The sequence below is a fragment of the Homo sapiens genome, chromosome 14 (assembly GCF_000001405.40).
Source record: "Homo sapiens chromosome 14, GRCh38.p14 Primary Assembly".
Taxonomy (NCBI): domain Eukaryota; kingdom Metazoa; phylum Chordata; class Mammalia; order Primates; family Hominidae; genus Homo; species Homo sapiens.
The window spans coordinates 101,450,410-101,475,802 of record NC_000014.9 but is presented as its reverse complement, the minus strand read 5'-3'; the positions used below and the strand labels follow the sequence as shown (position 1 = coordinate 101,475,802).

Here is a 25,393-nt window from a genome sequence, read left to right as displayed (position 1 = left end):
AATAAAAATAACACTTCTCAGCATCGCCGTCTCTGAGGGCAGGAGTGATCTGGAGCCCTCCCCAAGCCCACAGGTAGTCGGGCGGCATGTGCGGGCCTGGGGGGCCCCACTGGGGTCTTCTCTCCTCTTCCCCGGCCCCTCCCCGAGGCCAGGACAAGTCCTGCCTGCCCTGAACGGGGGCGGCTGAGCCCAGGTTGGGGTGGTGGTGAGACAGGGAGACTGGGGAGCTGGGCACCCTGATGGGGGTTCTGGGCCTGCCACTCATCAGCCTGGAGGTCCGGGGCTTTTCCCCAACCCCCTGTGCACGGAAAGGTTTAGGGGCCATGCCCCAGGTGGCCACAGCGACGGGAAGCTCCCTGGCTGCCTCAAAGGGCTGTTCTGTGGGGGGACCTGGTCCAGGATGATGGAGGGGAGGCAGCAACTGGACTTTTCCCCTTGCAGCTGTAAGGATAGCTTGATTTTTCTAAGGACAACAACCCTGTGTCTCCCCACTGAGTTACAAGCCCGCAGGTGGCTTGATGAACATGTGGTTTCTGGATGTGACATGAAAGTTAGCATTTGCGCGCTCTTTGGTTTCCCTGGGTTTGTTTTTCTTGCTCTTACAGTCCTGAACTATTCCCAATCGTGTTTATGTTGAGGCAGAAGACATGGCTGTGGAGTGTCGGTGCACCAGGGTCTGCCGGGTCCCCGCCTCCCCATCCTTCCAAGAGGCACCAGCTGCAAGGCACGTGCATGTGCCCTCCTGACCCCCCGGTCCCCAAAGAGCCTGCTCCCGTCACTCCAGGCAGGCACTGTTGCTGGGATTTCAAGGCAGCTGAGTGCAGAGCCCACTGCAGAGGCATCAGCCCCTCCCAGGCCTCTAGGAAACCTGCTCCTCCCCTCCCTCCACAGGCATCTGCTTACAGCGCCAGCGGTGCCTCGTGCTCCACCTGGAGCACCACTGTCTGTCAGGGACACGGGCTCCCAGAGGGCTGCACGTGAATGATTTCCGACCCTCACAACAGCCAGGAAGTAGGGACTGGGATTGTTCCCATTCTGTAGATGAGAAGACTGAGGCTTGGGATAACGTGCTTGCCCAAGTTGGCATGGGCAGTACAAGACAAAGCTGGGGTTGCAAATGATCACGCTTCCTATTCTGAATATTTCTTTTTCTGCCACCTTCTCCTCTGAGTGCTGGCTTTCCCTACTTACCAAGCCCCCAGCTGCTCACTGCGGTGCCAGAGCACCCAAGAGCCTCCTCTGGCAGTGCCATGGCCCACAGCACACTCCCCTTGGCTCTATCAGGCCTCCCTTTTGGCTTGAGTGCCACCCACTCACTCCTCTCCTGCTTTCTGGCATCGTTATTTAATTGTCCAACCCTGGTCTGCTCAGTTAGACCGTAAACTCTGAGAGGACGAGGAGTCTTCGCCGGCTGCCCCCCGGGCCTGGCCTGGGGCTGCCACGTAGCTGAATCTCAGCCACACTTGCTGTAGAATGATTTGTTATTATTCTCTGAGGCTGGGTTTCCACGTGGCTGGGCACAGGAGGACAGAGTCCCCCTCCCCGTCCAGGTCCTTGGCTGGCCAGCATTTCAAATGATATTGTTTCATATTAAATTATTTTAAATTCCATGGACCCTGGTTTCACAATCAAATAATTCGATCTTGTTTACAAATGGAATTTTTAGTTTTTGACGGTTTCTTGCTTTGCTGGGCTGGACGGTCAGTGAATGCGTGTCCTCCCGTGCCCTCCAGTCCATCTCTGTTGCCTTCCCCGGGATGCCGTGGAGGCCGGGAACCGTCCCCAGGAGTGGGGACGTGGTCAGGAGGGTGGGGTCAGGCAGCCCTGTGCAGGCAGACAGCTCACAGTGCTCGGGGCCTGGAGGCGGGGGCGTTCTCTGCTTGCCCTCTTCCAGCTCTAGACATGAGAAAACCCACAAAGAACAGAATTGGAAGGGATCTTTGACACACGTGATTCCAACATCCCCTTTTACAGTTAGGAAACTGAGGCACAAGATCCTGGTTCTTGGGGTTGGGCCTTGGACCCAGCACTGGGTCTTTGCACAGCCTCCTCAGGACTGATCCACACTTTGTTCTCTTCCCCACCAACCCCATCACTTCCCGTTAGGTGCCACTTACTGCTTTCACCTACCGAGACAGAGAGAGGGAAAAGTGTGACCTCTGACCTCTAGGAGCTAGGAACCCAGTGTTGGGAGGGGAGCTGCGGAGGAGGAGACAAAGGAGGCACAATGAGGTGGACCCTACGGGGTTGGGAGGAGCTTGGAAGGCAGTTCAGAAAGGACACGTAGGAGAAGGCAGGGTGGGACTGTGGGACAGCAGGCCGGGCGCATCCAGCGGCGTTTGCAAAGCCGGAGAAGTGGCCAAGCTCAGTGGCTGTGGCCAGATGCCATTTGTGGCAGTTGATGAGAATCTTGTGACTATTTTAACCGATGTGTTAAACTTCACTCTCCCCCTGTCAGTCTCCTTGTCACCTTGGAGAATGTTATTAGTCAAGGTTCTCCAGAGAAACAGAACCAACAGAATGTACACACATGCACACACATACACATGCACACACACACACATACACACGCACACACACACACACACAAACAGGGATTTATTGTAAAGAACTGGCTCCTGGAATAACTGAATTGATAAGTCCCAAGATTTTCAGTCAGCAAGCTGGAGACCCAGAAGAGGCTACTAGGGACTAGACATGTCCCCCCAAAATTCATATGGTGGACCCCAACCTCCAATGTGATGGTCTTAGGAGGTGGGGTGTTTTGAAGGTGATTAGGTCAGGAGGGTGGAGCGCTAATGAACGAAATTAGTGCCCTTATAAGAAGAGACAGGGCAGCTCTCTCTCTCTGATCTCTGTCACATTAGGACGTAGAGAGAGGAAGGCCAGCAGTAAGTGGGCCCTCACCAAAATCAAATTGGCAGCACCGTGGTGCTGGACTTCCAGCCTCCTGAATGGTGGGAAATGAATATTTGATGCTTAAGCCACACAGTCTACAGCAGCCCGAGCTTAGACAGAGCGGACGTTTCAGTTCAAGTCCAAAGGCAGGAAAAAGCTAGACATTCAGCTCAAAGGCTGGCAGGCAAGAGGAATTCTATCTTACTCAGGGGACGGGACCCCCTTTGTCCTATTCAGGCTGTCAACTGATTGGATGAGGCCCACCCATATTAGGGAGGGGAAACTGCTTTACCTGGCCCACTGATTCCAATGTGAGTCTCATCCCCAAGCCCCTCACAGAAACACCCAGAGTGATGTCTGGTCAAATATCTGGGCGCTGTGGCCCCGCCAAGTTGACACTGAAATTAACCCTCGCAGAGGCCGCCTCTTTATCACGGGACACATGCTTGGAGCCCCTCTTCTGGAACTTTCTCTAAGCGAGTGACAGTATGGGGCAGATGGGTGTCATTGCTCTGTGGTCACTTGATGGGTGACCTGGGTTGGCCCTGTGTACCTACCCACTGGGCTTGGCTCAGAATGGCATCCTGCTGTTTCCACAAGTCAGCTGGCTCTCCAGGGTCAGGATGGAACCTGCTGAGGAGATCACAGATGGCCCTGACTCCACACGCTGCCCCAGAGGGCCCCAAGGCAGGCATCTGAGCCAGCCCCGGCTGCAGAGGTTGACTCAGGAAAGCACCAGGGAAAGTTGGTTGTTAATATCCCAGTCCAATTTTTTTTGACTGGGCCTAAAGGCAGGGACTTCCTTCTATAAAATCTGGGAGCTGAGTGCAGGGCAGGCCTGACAAGGCGTGAGGAGCTGCCTGTGGACTTCGGCTCTCCCAGTGAGTCCAGGAGCTGCCCTGGGCCCTGGCGGCCCCTCCTCATCCCCACCTCTCTGCTGCACCACTATGGCCTCAAGGTCCCTGCACTGCCTCATAAAGCTGTCCCCAAGTCAGGCTCCTGTGAGCGCGCCGGGCATCAGAACTCTGGCTGGTGGACCCACAGAGGCCCGGGGTAATAGCCATGAGAAGAACAGGCCACCACGCTCAGACTGGGAAGCACCCAGCCTGCGGGATGGCCAGAGACACTCATCCAGGGCCATGAGAGTGTGAATCAGTCGAGTACAATATGCATAACCAGTGTGGCCAGAACCGGTGCTTTGAGGTGTCTAACTCCTGGTGTCCTACCATCCCAACACTGTTGATTAATGGCGAAAGATGGGGCATTGGGGAGGTCTGTGTCTATGCTTGGTGGCACCTAAGAAAGAGCAAGGCATTTATCTGCATGGATTGAGATAGACAGGTCTCTAAAATAAACAAGGCAAAGAACGCAAGAGGCTGAACCAAAGTATGATCCATTTGGGGCTTAACAAATAGATAGTATAGGCAGCGCGGTGGCTCACGCCTGTAATCCCAGCACCTTGGGAGGCTGAGGTGGGCAGATCACCTGAGGTTGGGAGTTCCAGACCAGCCTGAGCAATATGGTGAAACCCTGTCTTTACTAAAAATACAAAAATTAGCTGGGCATGGTGGTGCACGCCTGTAATCCCAGCTACTCAGGAGGCTGAGGCGGGAGAATCGCTTGAACCCGGGAGGTGGAGGTTGCAGTGAGCTGAGATCATGCCACTGCACTCCAGCCTGGGTGACAGAGGGAGACCCTGTCTCAAAAAAAAAAAAAAAAAATAGATGGGGTAGATGCTTTTGGAAGAATATGCAGTCACTGCTCACACCAGCATGGAACAAGTGGACTGGGGTTACTGCCTGGCGAGTCTCTTTCAGGTCCCTGAATGCAGTTAACTCAGCGAGTCCTGAGTTCCCCAGGAGGTGGGCATTCCCATCTTACCCACGTTGCAGATGAAGACACTGAGGTATTGGGAGAACCTGCCCAGGTGATACAGGTAGTATGTGGCGGTTGGGGGATGTGAACTTGAGCTCCTGACCAACTCTGCTGCATGGGCTGACAACTCCGGCTTCTCCGGGAGAGGGGCAGGGGCTGAGGTGGGGCTTTTTTGTTTTTGTTTTTGGCCTTTCTGAGTCCTCTGTGCTTTCTTCCCAGGTGCATAGATGACTTACTTTCAGAAAATGTCAACAGGGTGCTCTGCAGAGGGGCATGGGCTTTTATGCCTTTATTATGCTTTTCTGTATTAAAAGAAAAATACAGTCATGTGATTTTAGAAACTCAACCCATGGAAGAGAGAATACTGGGTCTGTAGGAAATCTGCAAAGTGGGAAAGATACTTCTGGGCTTGGTGGTGGCACCTTGGAGCCTGCTTACGGAAATCACCTCTCGTTCCCGTGATGCTGAAAGCAGAATGCTGGACATGGAAGAACCGTGAGTCATGTCCAGTCCACTTCCTCGTTACACAGGTGGGGAGACCGAGGCCGGGGGAGGGGCTCTACCCTGCGTGGGTGTCACCCAGGGTCCCGCCTGCACCCGAGCCATACCTCTGTGCCCTCTACCCAGGGCCTACTCAGCTGCCCCGAACTGTAATCTGGAAAAGATGAGAGCGGACCAATTATTTCTGTACCATGGTTGCATGATTACCAAGATCAAAAATGCCCAAGGAACTATATTTAGTCCAGGACAGAATTCAAAGACCACCTGGTAACAGAAACATCTGCCTGGGAGGCCAGGCACCCATATGACCCCTCACTTTGTCTCATTCTGTCTTGGAACCCAGGCGGTACTCGAGCTTCGTCTGCTGCCCCACACCCCACTGGCTGTTGCAAGAGTGACGTTGCCATTGGTGACTGCAGGTCTCCCAGCAGCCTGGTGCAGAGAGGCCACTTCAGGCTCGAACAGAGGCCCGGGTTTCCACGGGAGACAGCAGAGCCACGGTGTAGCAGGCATCCAGCTCTCCCCCGATCAGTTCCGTGACTTGTCGGAAGGCCCTCCCTCCCGGTAGGCCTCGGTTTCCTCATCTGTGAAACAATGGGAGTGACCTGGAGGGCCTCTGCCAGTCTCACTCAGTCTAAGCCCTTGAGACGGAGGCAGACACGGTCAGCCTGTAAGCCCCTGGCCTTGCTCTTGCTTCAGGTCAGACGAAGAAAGGACTGGTGGCCTCTGGGGATCCTGAGCCTGTCTCCATGGGAACCAGCTCACCCACCCCCTCTCTGGCAAGTGTCCTAGTGGGAGCCATGGGAAACCATGGGCTCCAGCCCCTGGCCGCTGACTGGTTGGCGGCCTTCCGTTTTGAGATCCCTGGCCCAGGGTAATGGAGGGGACCTCATCTTACAGAAGACACAGCGAGGGTGTGGAGAGGCTGTGGGGGAAGCACAGCCTGGCCGGCAGCTGCTGGGTGTCCTGGCTTGAGCTCAGGGCACCTTTGTCCCAGGGTGGGACCCTCAGGTCTCAGGGGCTGCTCCATCCCCGTTGAGGGCTCCCTTCATTCTTGATGTCTGTCCACTCACAGAGGGGGCGTCATGCCTCTCCAAAGACCCCCACATTCCAGTCCTTGTGTCCCTGAGGTCGGCCTCCTGGCGGCCACCTCACAGGGAAGGCCCTGGACACAGGGCCCTGGCCTAATGCAGCATGGCTTCATCTTAACTAGTTACGTGTGCAAAGACCCTGTCTCCAAACAAGGTCATATTTTGGGCTTCTGAGTGGAAGTTGGTTTGGGGGACACTCATCAACCCAGCACAATGCTCCCCCTCACCATGTTCGTTGAAGAGAAGACTCTTGGACACCTGGAGGCCACCAGTCCTTTCTGGATCCCCAGAGGCCACCAGTACTTTCTTCCTCTGACCTGAAACAAGAGCTAGCAGGGGCTGGCAGGCCGACTGCGTCTGCTGCCATTTTGAGTACTGGCCCCAGCCGCAATGCCCAGGACTGAGTCATGGAGATTCCCTCAGAAATGGTGCAACCCAGTCTGTCCACAGAGTGAGGGGCGACAAGCCTGGTGGCCCCGGCTTCAGTGCAGGCCATCCTTTCCACCTATTGTCTCCTTTTGGTCTCATGGGGACCCGGTTCTTGTCCTCTGCCCTGTAGCATGGCTACGACCCTCATGGGCCACAAACTTGATGCCCTCAGGCGGCTAGACTCTACCCCAGATCCGGGGCTGGCAGCGGCATGGATGTGGTCAACTGGCATGCAGTTGTTACCCAGACACCCTCCCATCAGCACTTTTTTAGGGGGTGAGTGACAGAAACTCAACTTGGGCTTAAAGGTGAATTTACTGGTTCCTGTGATGACAGAGTTCAAGGTTCAGCTGGACCTGGTGCCTCCAATGACGTCACCAAGTCTGTCTGTCCATCTGTCTGAGTTCAGCTTCCTCCAGGTCTTCGTTCTCCAGCAGGCCTTCTCCTCAAAGTGGCCAGGTGACTGTCAGCTCTATGGTTCATTCTACCAGTTTATGAATCTCCCCTCCTCATGTTGCTCAAATTCAGCTGTGAGTAAACTCCCAAGCTGATTGCAGCGTCCAAAGGGAGGGCACTGGTCCCATGTGCAGCCGGCAACTCTATGGGTTCAGCTCCACCCAAACTATATAGACCACAGCAGGGAAGGAAAGCCAGGGATGCTAGGATGGCCAGCACCACTGCAGAAGCCTATTGATCCCGTGCAAAATAGCTCCAGTAAAAGGAGGGCTTTGGGGCCCGGTGTGTTGGCACACACCTGTAATCCCAGCACTTTGGGAGGCCAAGGCATGTGGATCACTTGAGGTCAAAAGTTCTTGACCAGCCTGATTAACATGGTGAAACTCCGTCTCTATTAAATACAAAAAAATTAGCCAGGAGTGGTGGTGCATGACTGTTATCTGAGCTACTTGGGAGGCTGAGACAGGGGAATTGCTTGTACCCGGAGGCGGAGGTTGCAGTGAGCTGAGATCACACCATTGTACTCCAGCATGGGCAACAAGAGCAAAACTCTGTCTCAAAAAAAAAAAAAAAAAGGAGAGCTTTGGTCTACAGAAAGTCAGGCACCATCACAGCATCATAGGGACAGGGATACAGGATGCAGGTCCCCGTTACATCCAGGGCTCCATCCCTCTTCTCTCCATCCTCCCCATAGGCTTTTCCTACAGGCCTTTGGTTTTCCCCGGATGTTGGCTTGCCCCTATACCAGCACTGCCATGGATGTTGGCTTGCCCCTATACCAGCACTGCCACGGATGTTGGCTTGCCCCTATACCAGCACTGCTCTGGATGTAGGCTTGTCCCTACAAGATCACTGGCCCGACTTGTCACTCCAGGGACAATGTGTCCACCCTTGGCCTAGCTAGTCAGAAACTTTTGTCTTCGTGTCATCGTGTCCAATCAAGATGTCCAAGATCCTTCTCTCTTTAGAGAGCATGGGGAGGAGGGGCATTGTGCTGGGTTGATGACTGTCCCCCAAATCCACTTCCACTCAGAAGCTCAAAATATGACCTTATTTGGAGACAGGGTCTTTGCAGATGTAATTAGTTAAGATGAAGTCACGCTGCATTAGGGTGGGCCCTAGACCCAAGGCCTAGACCCAAGGACTGGCGATCTTATAAAAAGAGGAGTGGACACAGAGACAGATGCAGAGGGAGGGCAGCCACGGAAAGACAAAGGCAGAGAGTGGATGATGCAGCCGCAAGCCATCGGATGTCCAGGGCCACCAGGAGCTGAGGAGGTGAGGAAGGGCACCCCCAGGAACCTTCAGAGGGAGCACGACACTGTCGACACCTTGACTTTAGACTTCTGGGCTCCAGATCAGCAAGGGAGTAGATTTCTGCTCCTTTAAGCATTTTATGGGTCTCTGCTGCAGGAGCTCAAGGAAACTCATTCAGGTATTTAGGACGGTTGTGCTGGGTGGAGACGGACCACACACCGTCTCTGGGCTGAAGGGGCGGGCACCAGGAGCAGGTCCTCAGTCGACCGCATCTTGGCACTTAGCTTTGGTGACTCCCCCTGGTGCTGCTGATGTCCTACCGTGGCCTCTAGGGGACTCAGGGTCCTGCACCCCACCCCTGCTCCCTTCCTGCCCTGGCCTCGTCTCACCTCTGCAGTAGCAAGACTTTCTGCAGCCTGAATCTAGATTCTCTGCCGCCTCTTGGTTCTTCTCCTTCAATGTGGGCTCACCAAGGGCCATGAGGGTCCCCAGGACTGCAAGGGCACACAGAAAACCCACAGATTCATACACTGAGATATCGCTCTCCTCGTCGACAGGACCTCAAGCCTCCAGGCCCAGCTCAGTCTAATTCAATCTCTGTGTCTTTGCTCAAACTCTTGCAAGGAAATCTGACCACCTTGGCCTGGCTGGGGGCATCCAGCGCTATCCCTGGGGTGTGGCCTGAAACCCTTCCTTCCTCGGTAGGACTCAGTCAACCAGGGTTAAGAAAAGGGCACATTCCTTGGAGAAGCATGAGGAGATAATGCTTCTGAGGACGCTCATGTATGTGAACGCTCAATGCAGACATATGGAAATTATGTCGTCTACATTTACCCCCATCCCTCTAGGGTGGGTGTCATCAGATTCCCGTCCCAGTTTGCAGCTGGAGCCTCGGGGCTTGGATTAAGTGCTTGCCAGTGCTGGTAGAGAAGCCTGTCACCTCCCACCACTCTCAGCACTTGTCCACTTGCCAAGGTCTCATGGCAAGTAAGTCCTGGCCACCTTGGTCGCCTCTTAGACGAAGTGGCTTGGACTAGATGCCCTCCTCCGAGGTGAATCTTGAGCTGAAGCTTCGGTGTGTGCCTGGAGCATGTGGCTGGGGTGTTCAGCAAACCCTGGGCAGGGAGGACAGGCCAGCCAGACCTCGGGCCCCCAACTGGGCATCTGCCTCCATAGGGCATTCATCCACTTTGGGGGTCTTTGTGTCCCTAAAAGAGTCTGAATATGAATCCACACTCAAGCAAAACCATTAAGGAGATCAAAGCAGCCGCAATGACACTGGAGGAGGCTCATGCTCCTGGGAAACCTCAGAGTAAGACGCATGGGGGAGGTGCTGGCTTAAGGGTCATGACTGAGGTGAGAGGCTGAGGGCAATGGACAGAAAGCAGCATGCAACCAAGTTCAGGTGGCAGGGAAAACAGAGAGCAAGGAGGAAGCAAAACTGTGAGCAAAACAGGCCTTGAGGGGCCAAACAGTCAGCCACAGATGCCAGGCTCCTGCCCGACCTGCCCCGACCCTGCCTCTCAGAGGGCACCTGCCATCCTCTGTGCACCCCACCTGTCCTGTCCCATCTGTGCAGGGCCCCGTCTATCGCCCCTGAAGGGTCAGGTGCTCCTCACTGGAAGGTAGGAACTGGGCTTCACCATCTGGACTGTGCAAGGCCTGCCTGGTCATGAGAGCAAAGAGTTTTCTAGAAGGCTGGCTTGCACACATAAGTGAAGAACTGCCCCCCAGAAGTAATGCTTAGGCAAAGAAGGTGGGCAGTGGTGGTGGTCACAGATGCTGGGGGTGAGCCATAGGCCTGAGCCATCCATTGTGGGGGTCTGAAAGCCCAAGTCTGTGGCTCCCACACACAGAGATAGACAGTTCCTAGAGAACACCAGAGTCTAGGCCCCAGGGGCTGGGCGTGCCTCAGAGGGCGCCCCATGCCAGCTTAAAGGCAGCTGGGAATGCAGCAATTGATCAGTGGGTGCTGGGCAGCTCACACCCCCGTGCGGACAGTCTTCTCCATGGGCCGAGAAGTGTGTCACATGCATGCAGGTGCATATGCATGGGGACATGGGGGCCCAGGAGTCTTCCTACTGCAGAGTTCAAAGATGCGGGCTGAAGGCAGTTTGGAGAGCGTCCCCTGCCTGTGCTTCTCTTTTAACTCCAGGACCTGAGCCTCTGCTGGGTGGCGGGTGGACGCTGCTCCCAGTCTCCCATGCAAGGGGCCCCAGAGGGAGGAAAATGGCAGGATGGGACAGAGGGACCACGTGAGAGCAGCTTTGGGATAAAGCTGCCAGATACACAAAGCAATAAACAAAAGGGAAAAAGGAAACGGGACTCAACACAATTCACAAGTCACAAGGTGGTTGGCTCCAAGGAGCAGGTCCCTGGCTCAGCGGGTCCACTGGGGCTCTCTGGGCAGAGGGGCCTGGTGTTTGAGGTCCCCTCCAGAACCTTCACGCTGAGTGGCAATGACATTCCATAGCCTTGAGGGGCAGGGGCGCAAGGCTCAGCACCCTGGGGCTCTGGGGTGGAGGAGGAGGATGATCCGGACTGGGGAGGCAGAAATGGCCCTCCGTTCTTTTCTGTTTCTTCTCACGCCTCCAGCCCCTTGCTGCAGCCACACTGGCCTCAGTTACACTGGCTCCTTCCTGCTCCTCATCTGTACAGGGCCAGGTCCTGAATTAGGGGGGCCTTTGTACATACAGGCACCAGAACATTCTTCCAGAGCTTCACTGGAGCCTTCCTCTTCAGCATGACCGTCCCTGGCCACCTGATCCAGAGCTGGCGGCTCCCAGGCATAGCCCATCCCTGCTGCGGCTCTGCACTGCCCCAGTCCTCACCTGCATGCAGGGGACTATTCACATGCTGACCGTCTGTCCATCTCCCGTAAGAACGTCGGCTCCTTCCACGTCTGCTGGGCGTGGAGGATCCCTCACAGCCTCCCCGACCTCAGAGCCATGAGAGACTTGCAAAGCTTGAAACAAACTCTGAAAGGACTCTTCACAGATAAATTCCTCCAGGTGCATGTTTCAAACAATTTTATTATCTAACCCAAGAGTAAGTTAGCAATCGATTTCCTAATCTTTATTGATTGGCAGTGGGCAGGCTAGTGTGATTAAAGATGTGAGAGAGACTTGCCAAATAAAATGCATGAGCAGCCTTCATGAGCTTAGCTCCAATGTGCAGAGTGATAGGGTCAGGGAAGTGTGTGTATGTGTGCATGATTGTGTGAGATCAGGGTAGTGTGTGTGTGTGTGTGTGTGTGTGACATCAGGGCAGTGGGTGTGTGAGAGAGATCAGGGCAGTGTGTATGTGTATGTGTGAGATCAGGGCAGTGTGCGTGTGTGTGTGTGTGTGACATCAGGGCAGTGTGTCTGTGTGCATGAGTGTGTGAGATCAGGGCAGTGTGTGTGCATGAGTGTGATATCAGGGCAGTATGTGTGTGTCTGTGTGTGTGTGTATGATATCAGGGCAGTGTGTGTGTGTCTGTGTGTGAGGTTAGGGCAGTGTGTGTTTGTGTGCATGAGTGTGTGAGATCAGGACAGTATGTGAGAGAGAGAGATCAGGGCAAAGGGCAGTGTTTGTGTGAGATTAGGGCAGAGTGTGTGTGTGTGTGTATGAGATCAGGGCAGTGTGTGTGTGTGTGCATGAGTGTGTGAGATCAGGGTAGTGTGTGTGTGTGACATCAGGGCAGTGTTTGTGTGTTTGTGTGAGATCAGGGCAGTGTGTGTGTGTGCACGAGTGTGTGAGATCACGGAAGTGTGTGTGTCAGGTCACCACAGTGTATGTGCGGGTATGCGTGTGTGTGTGCACAGGGAACACACGGACAGCCATTCCAAGTACACACTCTCCTTGGGTAAATCTGTGAGTAATCATTGCTCCAGCAGTGAGAGCCCGTGAGGGTGGTGCAGGAAGACTGTGGCCTGCCTCCTGAGGGAAGCATTAAAAAAACAGTCAAAGGAAAACGAACTCAGCTCTCCCAGGGTGGAGGACGTGGAGGTGGGCAGCCAGGGAACAAATCTGGTTGCTGCGAGCCTGTCAGAAAGGGCCCTAGTGCCCTGCCAGGAGGAAGGACTCTGGGCCATGAGCATGATGGTCTTTGAAGGCCAGGAGAGCTAGCCTACCCCAGCTCTGCCACTAACTGTGCGACTCACGGTCACATGATGATACCTCCTGGGCCCCATATACTTTATCTGCAAATGGGAAGAAGCACAGCCTCTGTGTCCACAGTGCTGTTGAGGTTGGATCGGGGCTAACTGGCAATCAGACATGTGTCTATAAATGCCGGCGAGCCAGGCAGAGCCCAGGCCTGAGAGTCCACCAGGGTGGCAGGCCTTAATCCGCGCTGCACAGATCTGTGAGTCCCAAAATCTGCAGTGGGGCTTGAGGAGGAGCTGGCCCAAGGAGAAGACTGGAGTGGAATTGGAAGGGGGGAGGAGGATTTTACTGGAGGGCTACTGGGGGGTAGGGGAGAAGACATCTTGGGCCCCAGGGAGGCACAGGATCAAAAGTGACAGATGACTGTCAGGTGCTAGCCTGGGCAGACACATTGAGTCAAGACCTCATCTGGTACATGATCTCGCTGAATCCTCTCTAAGACCCTAGCAGGGAGTTGTCCTCCTCATTCTAAGAGGAAGAAGCAGAGGCTCCAGCTCAGGAGGGGAGGTGGCCTCTCAATGTCATAGTAGGAAGTGGTGGCTAGGATTCCAGCAGGAGGTTCTGACTCCAGGGCTGGAAGTGGGGGCAGGAGATGCAGCAGGAAGGAACTGCGGGTCTCCCTCCACTCAGGCTTAACCCACACAACCTCAGCTCTAAAGGGTGGTCTGCAAGCTCCACGCTGCAGCCCATTAGGATCATGGGATTGTTTCAGGGGTGGCAGCCATTATTTGGAAAAAAGAAATAGGATGAACAGAGATCAGCATTCATGACGTCTAGTAAGAGAACCATTCTTTTGCAAAAATTGTGTTTTGGTTATCTAGGTATAGTTAATTAATTATTTTATACATAGTTGTCTGGCTTGCCGTGGGCTGAGATGCACAATGTATTTCTTACCCCAGCCACGGTCAGCAAGCTTTGAAAGCCACGGCTTTCAGGCTTTCTTGGTTCTGCAGGGGCCTCCGGGCCTTTGTTCTCTGAACAAGAACGCCAGTGCTGGGCACAGGACAGGAGCCAGGACCTGCTGGAGGATTTCCGCAACATGCCCCTTCCCACACATCAACGCAGCTGGCTAGGCAAGGCACCATCTCATGGGGTCCTAGAACTTGGGGTGTCAATGTTTGGCTGCAGCATGGGGGGTGCTAAACACGGAGTTCCAAGGCCCTAATGCTGTGCTCACATGGGCCATGCTTTCCTTTCCTTATACATTGCATAGGGTTCCTTATCTGCAGGCTGGGGTACTCCTGAGACCCCCAGAGCTAGGCCCCAAAGCAGCTCCACCAGGCTGGCCTGCTCTGAGAAGCCCTGAACGCAGTGTGTTCACGGGCAATGGGCAGAGAGCGCCTCTCTCACCGCTGGGCCCGTGTCGGCGACAAGGACAAGTGTCTTAGGGAGTAAGAGATATCAGGGTGGCAGGAGGGCAGGGGCCAGGAAATTCTAGAGGTAGGGCTGGGAGGCCACTGGGGAAGGAGGCCGAGCTGCCTCCTGCGTGCAGCAGACGGATGCAGGAAGGCTTTCAGTGATCAGATTCGTGTTTCAATCAGGTAACTCTGGTGGGGGTGTGGCCAGGTTTCTGTTTGTCTGGCATTCTTCAAAGAGAGCTGCTCTGACCAGAGATTCTGGTGTGGGTGAGAACCCCAGCAGATGCATTTCCAGGTGTAGCCCTCTTACCTGCCCCAGGCAATCTGCTTCTCCTCCTCCCCTGGGCATTTGTTTCTTGTGTTTATCTCTTACCACAGATTCATCCATCCTGGGAATGGGCTTCTACTTTGGGCAACGCTAGATGACACAAAACCTTCAGTTGTAATAAACAATCACAAAGCAAACTGGCATTCCAACGTGAAGCCACGTCTCCTCCTGACCTGGCTGGCTTTCCTGTTTGCCGTACCGGCCAGCCCAGGTACCCCCAAAGGGACCTTTGTTTTCCCAGAAAAACAGAACAAAACAAAAACAGCAACAAAAAACCCAAACACACACACATAAACCCAACTGCCCACCCGTAATCAGGACTGAGGCTGAACGTCCTATTGCCTGGCTCTGTAGGAGGTCAGCAAATCTTTCTTCTCCAGGTGGTGACTCGATGTGACAGGTGAGCTCAAGGACATCTCAGATCCCAAGTTTTGGTCCACACTGTGGTCTTATTTTTATGAAAAATGACCAGTGGGTCCCCAGCAATGCTGCCGAGTAGGCCACTGGGGAGTTTTTAAAGGAGAGAAACATAAAATGGACCTTTCATGTCCTCAATATGGGACTAAAACATGGACACGGAAGGTATCAGGATAGAAACTGCCCAGGCTCCGGCATGCCCCAGCATCTCCTGTGCTCCCACTGACAATTGACCCACCTGCCTTCCTCTTATGGCATGATTATACACATCAAAATCCTCAGGGGTCAGCACTAACTGTCTGCATAGACACACCCAAACACCTGGGGCCTGGCATTCCAATAAACCCTCTGGACAGAGCGGCATCTCTCCCTCACACAGTGAAACTAACTGCACCTCAATTCTCCTCCTGGGCGTGCAAGCGTCAACAAACAGGTATTTTCCCCATTTCCTGTTCGGTTCAAAGGTTATTCCTAATAACCAGCCATTGACCTGTTTTTGATTTTTTGACTGAGAAATGTATTGACCACGAATGCACAAATTATTTGCTGCACTGTATATTCCTCTCTTACTGACACAAGATCACTGGAAAAGCCATCTCAGAAAAAAATGGAAGATTTCAGGAGGAGCTAGAGTGAAACAAACCCAAGGTCGTTCAGCTCATTACATGTTAGTTAAATGTTACAGTTTCATACAAAAAAACCCCAGATATTCCCTTGGTTAAAAAAAAAATTAGTCTTTTCCTGTGTGTCTTTTATCTCAAATAAAAAAGGATTCTAATTTTATCTGTGTTCAATAAGCCGATAAAAAAATGGTTAGGCTGGGGTTGTTTACTTTTTCGTAAGATTCTCTGAGCAGCAGAAGGAAAGAAAACCAACTTGAGTCTAGCATTTTCTGAGCACACTAAAACAGCCAGGTCCCTTCAACCCATCTGGAAAGAAATTAATTAGTTCTCTGTGTTAGTTTAATATGAAATTATTTTATTTTCACTTTTTTTTTTCTTTTTCTTTTTCTTTCTGGCTATTAGGAAGGAAAAAAAAATGGTGTGGAGAAAGACGGGCTCTGGTTCCTTACGGCCCATTTTCTCTCCAGGCTTTTCTTGGTTTCCAGCTTTTGCTTTTTAAATTTTTCCCTGTCTTTTTGGTTGAAAATGTACAAAATGTGTATTTTAAATATCAAAAAATTATACATTTTGAACATGACAAAATCTTAGATCCACAATACGTTTTTACAAAAATATTATTTTAAAAATACCGTCTGCTTTCTCTCTACTTGAATTAAAATGTCATGTTCATTTCTTATCTTCTGATCTGTTCAATCTGACATTTGTTAGATGTGAAAAAGTTCTGCAGACTATTTCAGAGAATATTTTTAAAATGTGAACAACCGACATGTAAAATGTCCGCGGGAGCACGCTTGCGGAGTTCACATTCATTTTTCAGACGCTGGGGTGCTGGGAACGGCGGGCGTCCTTCCTGGGTACCGCGGGGCGGCCGTCCCGGGCCGGGTCCCCTTCCTCCTCGGGGCACCGACGGCCTCTCCTGGCCGGGCTGAGGCCGGCTCGGCCCCGTGCGGCCTTCCGGTTTGCTAGCATTTTCCTTCTGGGACGCGCACGGAGGCTGTGGAGAGACCCGGCCGGGGTCCGAGGGGGTGGGCGGCCCTAGCGCGGGTCGGGCCGCGGGTCCCACCTGCTGCCGCCCGCCCCGAGTGCCCCAGAGACTCTGCCGCCGCCCGAGCGCGCGGCCCGGGCCACCTGATGGAACGTGCGGAGCTCACTCCTCCACCTGGCGCCCATTTGGCTTTTTATTATCTGCCTCCCGCATCCTAACTGGTTCCAGATTTGCAACCTCAGAGGCGCAGACACCCGGCTGGGCCACGCCATCGATCCCCAGGTACCCCGAAGCAATTACAGCCACTGCGTCGCGGCAGCCCGGCGCCCCTGAGGGCTGCTCCAGACGGCGCCCCCCCGCGGGGCTCCTTCCAGGGCCTCGGGCCTTTCCGGGCGAGAGCACCGTAGCAGGCGGGGAGTGGGGCGCCGGCGCTGGCACTTCAGAGCTGGGACCCGCTGCCCCCGGCACCAGCCCGGCCTTCCCCGAGCGCAGCGCACAGCCTCCACCAGGTCAGGCCGGCTTGGAGAAGGTCCCCGGGGCCCCAGGGCGCAGGGCATGAGCCCGCGGGCGACCTCGGAAACTGGCGCGGCGGGCAGCGCGGCGCAGACACTCGCTCTCAGGCCCCGCGCCCCGGGCGGCCAAGACTCGGAGCCCTCCCGGGCGGGCGGGACCACCCACGCCGTCGCCGACGTGGGAACCGGGCTGTCGCCGAGGCCGCGGGGGGCGCCGCGGGTCGCAGGCTCTGCCTGGCCGCAGCACAGCACCCAGGTCCCACTGTCCTGAGTCACTGTCTTAGGTAGTGAGACCCCCAACGCGACCTGCTTCAGGCCCTCCAGACCCCCAAAGCCTGGCACCCCCAGCCCGCCCCCGTGGCTGGGCCCCGCCAGCGCCGGGCACCGGAGGGGGAGGGCCCCGAGGGCTTAGGGCGCAGTTCCAAAGGCCAGAAAATGGAAACTGTGCGAAAAGAATCCCTAAATCCGGTCGGGCCCAAAGCCCACCGGCTTACATAAAGCCCCGGGAGCCCGCCGGCCCGCCCGCCTGGGGGTGAACAATCGGCAGGCACCTGGCCAGGCCGTCCCAGGCTGGCACCGTCGCCGACCCCCGACCACGGGCCTGGCGTGACCCTGGGGAGGGGGCAGGGGTCTCGGCCTCTTCCCACCCCCTGCTCGGAGAAACGTTTAACTGGCCTTTAATCACATTAGCAGCCGGCCCCAATTAGGGCCGCGGGAGGGGGAGGCCGCAGAAAAGCGCCGGCCTGGCAATGTCACTGGAGGATAAAGATCCTTTCATGCCCTCGGCCTGGTCATGGGCAACGCGGCGGGCCGCCACCCCCGGCCTTTGATGGCCTCGCCGACGCCGCCCTGGCTTCGCCCTCTCCACCCCTCGGCGGGCATCGCCAGGCCACCTCCCAGCCCGCCCGAAGGACAGAGGCCTGGAGGCCCGGCCCAGGCCTGCGTGTGTGCACCTGGGGCTCCCGCGGCGCTCGAGGGGAGGCTGGGGGCTCGCGGAGGGCAACGCTGAGCGTCCGGCTCGGACCTGGTAAGGCCGCTGCCCACGGACGGAGTGGCTCGGAGGGAGGGTGACCCGCCGCCAAGGTGCCCGCGCAGGTACCCTGGGCCCTCCTGAGCACCCCCAAGCGGGGAGAGACGGCCCTGAGTCGGGCTCCATCCTCCTGGGCCCAGGCCAGGCCCGCGCCTCCCTCCCGGGCTCCAGGCGCGTCGGGGACACCGGGCCAGGGCGTCGGGGCCAGACTCGGGCCTCCCCGTCGGTCATCGACCCGCGCGGCGGAGAACCGGTCCGTGCGCCCTGTCGAGGGGTCGCCTGGCGCCCAGGCTCCCGGCCACCGCTCCCCGCGCCGCGCTTACCTTGTTGGCCAGCGGGGGCTGCGCTCGCCTCGCCCCGAGGGTCGGTGCCGGGGCGCGCTCTGGACGGGCTGGGGTCGCGCGAGGACAGCGGCCGCCCGCGCCGCCGGAATGCTGATGCCGCAGGCGGCCGCGACGCCCGGTGGCCGCCTGGGACCCCCCGCCCCACGGCGGCAGCTGCAGCCCGGAGCCGCGTGACCCCGGGCCCGACCTCCCCGCGCTCGGCTGTTTGTGCGCACACAAAAGAGAACACTCATATTTTTCTTTTCCCGGCACAGACTTCACACCCGCCCCGTCTCCCCTCCCCCGTAACCCCCCGCCTCACACACGCTCCGCTGAGAACCTCTTTTTCTTTGCGCACCCACTGTGCCTCGCCTTTCTCTCCTCTTTAATTCCATAGTTGTATTCGAGGATGTCAGCATAGCTTAGAAAGTTTCATAGAAAGTCAGAAAGCAATTAGAGAGGCCCTTTTATTGGAGTCTCGTTGGTGCCATGGAATCTTTTAAAGGAGAGCCTGAAGGACCGAACACAATCCCATTAAGCCGCCAAAACTCCCACAGTCTTCAATAGGGGTGCTCAATACTTCGACAGACTTTCGCTGGCTCATTGGGAACCACGGGGTTTCAGTTCCTAGTTCCGCAGCGGACTCACAACGGCGCGGCCTTGAACCCCTCGTTTCTTCCTTTCTCATCGGAATTTCCATTGGTGAAATGGCTTCCAGGGCCGGAGCGAACATTAATTAATGTCTGCAGAGCGTTCCGAGGTCTCTGTTTGACGAGCGCTATGAAAACTTGAAGCGCTTTAATATAGTAACACCACATCCTGACTGTTTATTTGAAATTAAAAAAAAAAAATTCCAGCCAGTTTCTAGAAATGCGAGCTGGATTTTTAAACAAACTTTTACCTCTCTGTGCTTTAAAATCGATCTACTGACATTTGGAAAATGGGTCAAAGAAATTATGCTTTGCTGGGAAAAACACCACGTATGACCAACGTTTCAGCTTAATTGAGTTTTAGTGCCAAATTATAACTCACTGAATAACCGGACTTGGGCGAAGGGGGGTGGCGAAGGCAGAGAGGGCAGGACAGCCAATTCTAATGGAAATACAGCCATCCTGGGCTGGGGTGGTGCGGCTACCATCGGAACAAGGACTGCAGCCGCCACCAACAGCCTAATTCCAAAGAGCTGAGGTTATCAGACTGTCGGCTCTCTTTGTGGGAAAATTGGGGATTGGCCCCTGTTGGATTTGTGGATTTTGATTCATATTCTGGTTTATTTTTAATGTAGCAGGCAACTTTTCTATAAAGCATAGTTCTTCCTTTGCTATTTTAGAGACTAACTTCTGTTCCTGCCAATAAAATTTAATCTCTTCCTTTAAAAGTCAGTATGTAAAGAAAGCAGGTGTTTTAAAGAAATAAAGTATTTAAAAAAAAGGTACTTGGTTGTCAAAGCAAAGTGCCGGGTTTAGAACAATTAGGATTTTGCTCCTGGTGTGTGATCACAGATGTTCATTTTATTAAACATAAGTTTGTATTTGACAGCTTCTGGATTAATTTTTGGAAAGCAGAATAGGTGATAGGCTTATAATTAAGGAATTATAATTTAGATGCTAATGAAACGACTACCGATTATGGGGAAAATGGACTGTTTTCTAACTGTAAGGAGATCATTAAAGATAGGTGTGCAAAAACTGAATATTGGAGTTTAGACTGCTTTCTCTTAGTCATCAATTATTTTGAAATTTTTCTCAAATTTCATTGCCTGTCCTGGTCCTGCTGTCGCAGGGATCTACTCCTTGGTCCCTGGTCTCTGGTTTTGTGTCCATCTGCCACCCTAGCCTGCCTGCTGACCTTGCATCTTCTCAGCTGGGATACATCAAGGCCTGGGTGGGAAAGGTCAAGACTCCCAACTCCACATCCAACCTCAGGCACTTCTCAGCCCTGCCTTCAAAATCCTCCTCCTTGACTGCACTGAGTTCTTCCCTGACTCCCTAACCAGCCTTTCCCCCACTGTCTCTGGGCTTCCCTTACCTCCTTTTCCCTGCTTGAAATGCCTTCCACCCTTCTTTCCACCTGTCCAGATGGCACCTCTCAGACCCAGCTCTCCCATCACCACTCAGACCCACTTTGACCCCACCCACTGTGGACTCCCCTGGGACTGTCTCCACCTCTTGCTCCTCACAGAGGATCCTCGCGGTACCGTCTGTGTTTTATTGCACCATGTTTATTTCTCACTGTGTGGCATGTCTCTGGGAATGTTTCTGGTTGAGGAGAAAATAATGGGAACCCCTGGTGAGCAAGTATCATTTTACGCACTTCTGGGGGCTCTGTCAGCACCCAGCACACAGAAACCAGGCCATCCGTCAGTCAATAGGATGCTGAGTTATAAATCACTCATATTTCAGCAAGTCGGAAGGAGAAACACAGTTAAGAATGCGCCCGTTCAGCACTTTGGGAGGTGGAGGCGGGCGGATCACCTGAGGTCAAGAGTTCGAGACCAGCCTGGCCAAGATGGTGAAACCCTGTCTCTACTAAAAATAAAAAAATTAGCTGGGCGTGGTGATGCATGCCTGTAATCCCAGCTACTCAGGAGGCTGAGGCTGGAGAATCACTTGAACTGGGAGGCAGAGGTTGCAGTGAGCCAAGATAGTGCCACTGCACTCCAGCCAGGGTGCCAGAGCAAGACTTTGTCTTAAAAAAAAAAAGAATGCACCCGTTCACCGAAGCCACAGGCCAGCAGTGGGCATGCTTCTTCACTGAACTCACCGGACCTGCCACTGGACTTTCTCAAACAACATAACACTATTTAAATGACATGGAATCTTAAGTTGTTTAAAAAATGAATGTGACTCAGTTGGACTGCAATAGAAAGTAGAGAAAACACAAACAAAAGCAAATCCAGAAATCCAAACAGTTCTGTCTGCTTTGGATATTCTGGACTTGCCTAAGAAAAGGAACAGACTCTGGAGAAACAAACAAGACATTCTAACAGTGCTGCCATGTCATGGCGAAGGCTCCTGGAAAGGATGATGCCTCCTCAGGTTATCTGTTCCTGGTCACACAAGACCCTCTCCTTTGAAGTTGCCCTGCACCAAGGCAGGTCCTGGGGATTTTGGGAAAAGTTCCTCTCCAGTGACGTCCTTGTGTTCCTGGGTGGGTTGGGTTAGTGTCCCTTCCTCAGGGGAGCATGACTTATGCTGAATCACGCTGAAAAACTGGTGACAGGGCTTGCTTGGAAGAGGATGACAAATTCCGCTCTTGTCAATAAGCACATGATTAAAGTAACAAGATAAAAATGACATGAACACAGCTACTTTTAAAGCTCTTCAGGGAACAAAGAGATGAGCAATGGCTGTGGTACAGGAAGAAATGAAAGTGATGAAAATAACTCTCTCAAGAACTTGAAGGAGGAAAATTTGGCATTTAGGTTTTACTGCAAATGTGCGAACGATCCATCTACGAGCAAGGTATCATTTCCTACCACTTAATCAAATTAACTAAATACAAAGTATTAGCATATAAAAATGGATTGCCGTTCTCCCCTGAACTTTACAATTCCTGAAGGAGGCCACCCCTGAGTCTTCATCTTCAGCTGAGAAATTGAACTTCCCTCTGGAGTATCAAATTATCGGCTCATTCTTGCAAGGAACAGTGAGATAATCACAAGAAAAAAACAGGTATATAAAATAGAGAGCTGGGTTTGGAGTATGGCTGGGTAAAAATGCACAGATGGTATGATTTTCCAGCTGTTTTAAAAACTTAAAAGCTTTCTCTCTTTCTTCTCGAGGTCAAGGTTTCAAAAATGGGTGGGTGGTTTAAGCTCTTTCCATCCATGAGATGACCTGACCATCTTGTGTCTTTTCAACCTGGGACTTAAACCGAAATGAAATCCCGATTCCATTCCCGCCACTTTTGGAGAATATTTTGATGTTTTGATTTTGTTCCAGTTCAGTAGTTTAAGAAAAATATGTAGGTTCAGGTGTCATTTGAAATTGGTTCACTGGGTGTCCTGATGGGGGAAAAAAGATAAACAAAATAACAAAAATATCCACTTTAGATTGATGGTTTAACACAGAATTGATATTGGAGCTTCGGCTGATGATCGGTGAACCGGTGTGGTATGTTTGCACGTCTTTAAACACAGCTTTGGATCAGAGCCAGGCTCTCAGTTTTAACCCTGCGAGTCACCGTCCTTCTTCAATGTAGCTTGGGTACCTTCTCACTTAATTACATGCCAGGCCCCTGTTTATGTCAGACTCTAATAGTACCAGTCTGCAAAACCTGCGTGGTTGGATGTTTTTCAGAATTGAGATTTTTTTTTTCTTTCAATAGAAAATGAATACAGTATCAAGACTGTAATGGGATATTCTAGACTTCTCCAGCCTGGGATTCCTTTCTTCCCAATTGCATGGGCATTTGGATAGTGAACATAGGAATGGTCACTCTAAGTGGAGTGACAGGAAGACCTTAGATATCCGCATGTCAGGGTGGGTTGCAAAATTTGAGTAACAACTTTTGGTTTTTAGAGCTTTTTGGAGTTTTGCACTTTCATGTAAGAGACCGTAGACTTGGATTTCAGAGCCTCTCCTGTTTCCCTCAAAAACAAACAAACCCAAAAACAACAAAAAAGAAAAGGCACTTGTTCCAGGGCCTTCCAGATCCTTTCCATTGGTCAGTTTTAATTGTCGCTCTGGTATTTAAGTGTTATTTGTTTAAAGAATGCTTGTATATGTTCGGGTAATTCATAAAACCTTATGGACTAAAGGCCATGCTTTAGTATATTAAACATGAACTATGCTAACATACAACATTTCCCAGGCTAATTTCCATATATCCTACTACTAGGTAAGGGAGTGAATGCAGGGGTCCTGTGGCCGGCGGGACACAGTGCCGGGGATGGTGAATGACCTCTGATGCCATGTCTTGCCCCTCGCCCTGCCAGGAATATCTTCCAAGCTTAAAAGGCTGCAAATGCCTTTATTAATATTTGCCTCTGACCTTTAGAACCAAAATAAACTGCACATAACAAGTAGAATCTAGGTACGAAGAGGTCCTTCAGATGATGAAAGTGAACCAGGAGCGTGTGGATGGGATTCCTGCAGGAGAGAGAGGATTCCGCAGTCCCAGCCAATCTTGACTCAGTGCTTCTTGCATGACCCATGTTCAATTCTAGTAAACATCAGCTCTTTCAAGAAATAGAAGCACTTTGGGTAAAAATAGTAAGCATTGTGATTTAAATGGGAGTATGATGTACATTTTAAATATTAGAGAGATTTTTATTATAAAAGATGGTGCGTTTGAATTTGGTTGAATTTTTTTTTTTTTTTTCTTTGAGACAGAGTCTTGCTCAGTCGCCCAGGCTGGAGTGCAGTGGCGCGATCTTGGCTCACTGCAGGCTCCACCTCCCAGGTTCACGCCCTTCTCCTGCCTCAGCCTCCTGAGTAGCTGGGACTACAGGCACCTGCCACCACGACCAGCTAATTTTTTGTATTTTTAGTAGAGACGGGGTTTCACCCTGTTAGCCAGGATGGTCTCAATCTCTTGACCTCGTGATCCGCCCATCTCGGCCTCCCAAAGTGGTTGAATTTTTTATAGGGCACATACAGGCAAATGAAATGCACATGGGCTGTGTGCACTCTCAGGCAATGTCGGAATTCCTCATTAGATTTCATGTTGTGTTGGATGCAAGTTCTCAGCCTCCACTAATGCACTTCTGAAATTAAAATGGAAGCCATGGGGAAGATGATTCGCCATGCCAGGATTCAGTTTTGCACCTGACTGTTCCAGAATTCATCTGGTGCTCAAAGTAAAACAGTCCTGTTTCAGCATTGCACATTTTTAGGGGGTCCTGGAAATAACTTGGGGTTCTATAAGTGTGCAGCCAACAGCATTGGCCTCCCAGGGATAGCACCTTACACTTATAAAAGGGGAAGAGGGTCGGAAGCCCAGCATCCCCTGGGTTTGAAGGGTTAGAATGGGTAGGAGGAAAGGCAGCAGGCGATTCTTAGGAGGGCTGCGAGGGAGAAAACCCTCCAATAAGTGCCATTCTGGTGCCAATCGTGGAGCTGCCAAAAGTAGTAGGAAAGGTGGCTGAGGGTGTGGCCATCTCACCTCCTCTGTCTCCCCTAGGCCTGGCATGGGGGGCTTGATGCCTGACCATGGGCAGGTTTAAATCCAGCAGGCAAGTGTCAGCCTCTGTTGGAGACAGTGCCCACACCAGCCTCAAAGCAGTATTTTAATCTTAAATTGCTCTTCCTGTTTTTTATGCTTGCACCATTTCCCCTGAAGACTGCAAGGTGTTGTATCCAGCTGTTCGCCTATGAAGCAGCTATTTAATTTTGCATAATTAAAATCTGGGGAAGTGGCAAAGGCCCAGGCAGGGGGAAAGGGAGCAGGATTCAAGAGAGGGTGGGAGGCAGGAGCAACAGCAAATCCTGGCACTGCTCAAGGTCCTCACTCAGTAGCGGTGGAGATACTCAGAAAGGAAGTGACCAGGCCTGGCGTGGCTGCTCACACCTGTAATCTTAGCACTTTGGGAGGCTGAGGTGGGAGGATCACATGAGGTCAGGAGTTCAAGACCAGCCTGGCCAACATAGAGGAACCCTGTCTCTACTAAAAATACAAAAATTAGCTGGATGTGGTGGCAGCACACCTATAGTCCCAGCTACTTGGGAGGCTGAGGCAGGAGAATCACTTGAACCTGGGAGGTGGAGGTTCGCACCACTGCACGCCAGCCTGGGCGACAGAGTGAGGCCCTGTCTGAAAAAAAAAAAAAAAGGAAGAGAGTGTCTCTGTCCAGTGAGGGTAACAGTATAGTATGCATTCACACCAGGCCAGGCCCAGAGGGGTCAGGGAACGCGTCCTTGGAGAGGTGGTACCTGAGATGAGTCTGAGAGGGTGATTTAGCATTGGCCAAGTGGAAGGCAAAGGCAGGGGGTGACAGGTGGGAGGTGGTCATCCAGGAAAAAGGAACAAATGGCCTGAGAAGGGAGGGGTGAGGGCCCTGGGGTCCCACTCTCCATGTTGAGGCCTCGGATCCTCAGCCCTGCTTTGCATGGCAAGCAGATGAAGTAATCTCTTTCCACCTGGCCTGTGTCCCTAGTACTGTGCTGTACTGCAATAGGTCAGTTCAAGTTCTGCGGAGCACCTTAATAGGAAGTCACA

The 25,393-nt window shown here is 52.9% G+C and overlaps 1 long non-coding RNA gene across 5 annotated transcripts, besides 2 other annotated features; it reads left to right on the top strand.

Moving 5' to 3' along the window:
- Window positions 13-11,660, top strand: LINC03117 (long intergenic non-protein coding RNA 3117). 5 transcript variants are annotated; one of them, XR_944217.3, is made up of 4 exons: window positions 13-73; window positions 4,716-5,268; window positions 5,618-5,838; window positions 5,974-11,660. It is a non-coding gene; the product is annotated as a long intergenic non-protein coding RNA 3117 (long non-coding RNA). The 5 variants fall into 5 exon arrangements; XR_007064343.1 differs by having other exon boundaries at window positions 606-5,268; XR_944220.2 differs by having other exon boundaries at window positions 13-4,804; window positions 4,993-5,268.
- Window positions 1,288-2,066: an enhancer, noted in NCBI's record as "H3K4me1 hESC enhancer chr14:101940074-101940852 (GRCh37/hg19 assembly coordinates)". NCBI's record gives its function as "activates a minimal SCP1, AML or CMV promoter by ChIP-STARR-seq in naive H9 embryonic stem cells {active_cell/tissue: H9 hESC(naive)}" and the evidence as "EXISTENCE:reporter gene assay evidence [ECO:0000049][PMID:30033119]".
- Window positions 20,925-22,124: an enhancer, noted in NCBI's record as "CDK7 strongly-dependent group 2 enhancer chr14:101920016-101921215 (GRCh37/hg19 assembly coordinates)". NCBI's record gives its function as "activates an origin of replication core promoter dependent on BRD2, BRD4, P300/CBP, MED14 and CDK7 cofactors, with strong dependence on CDK7, by STARR-seq in HCT116 cells {active_cell/tissue: HCT116}" and the evidence as "EXISTENCE:reporter gene assay evidence [ECO:0000049][PMID:35650434]".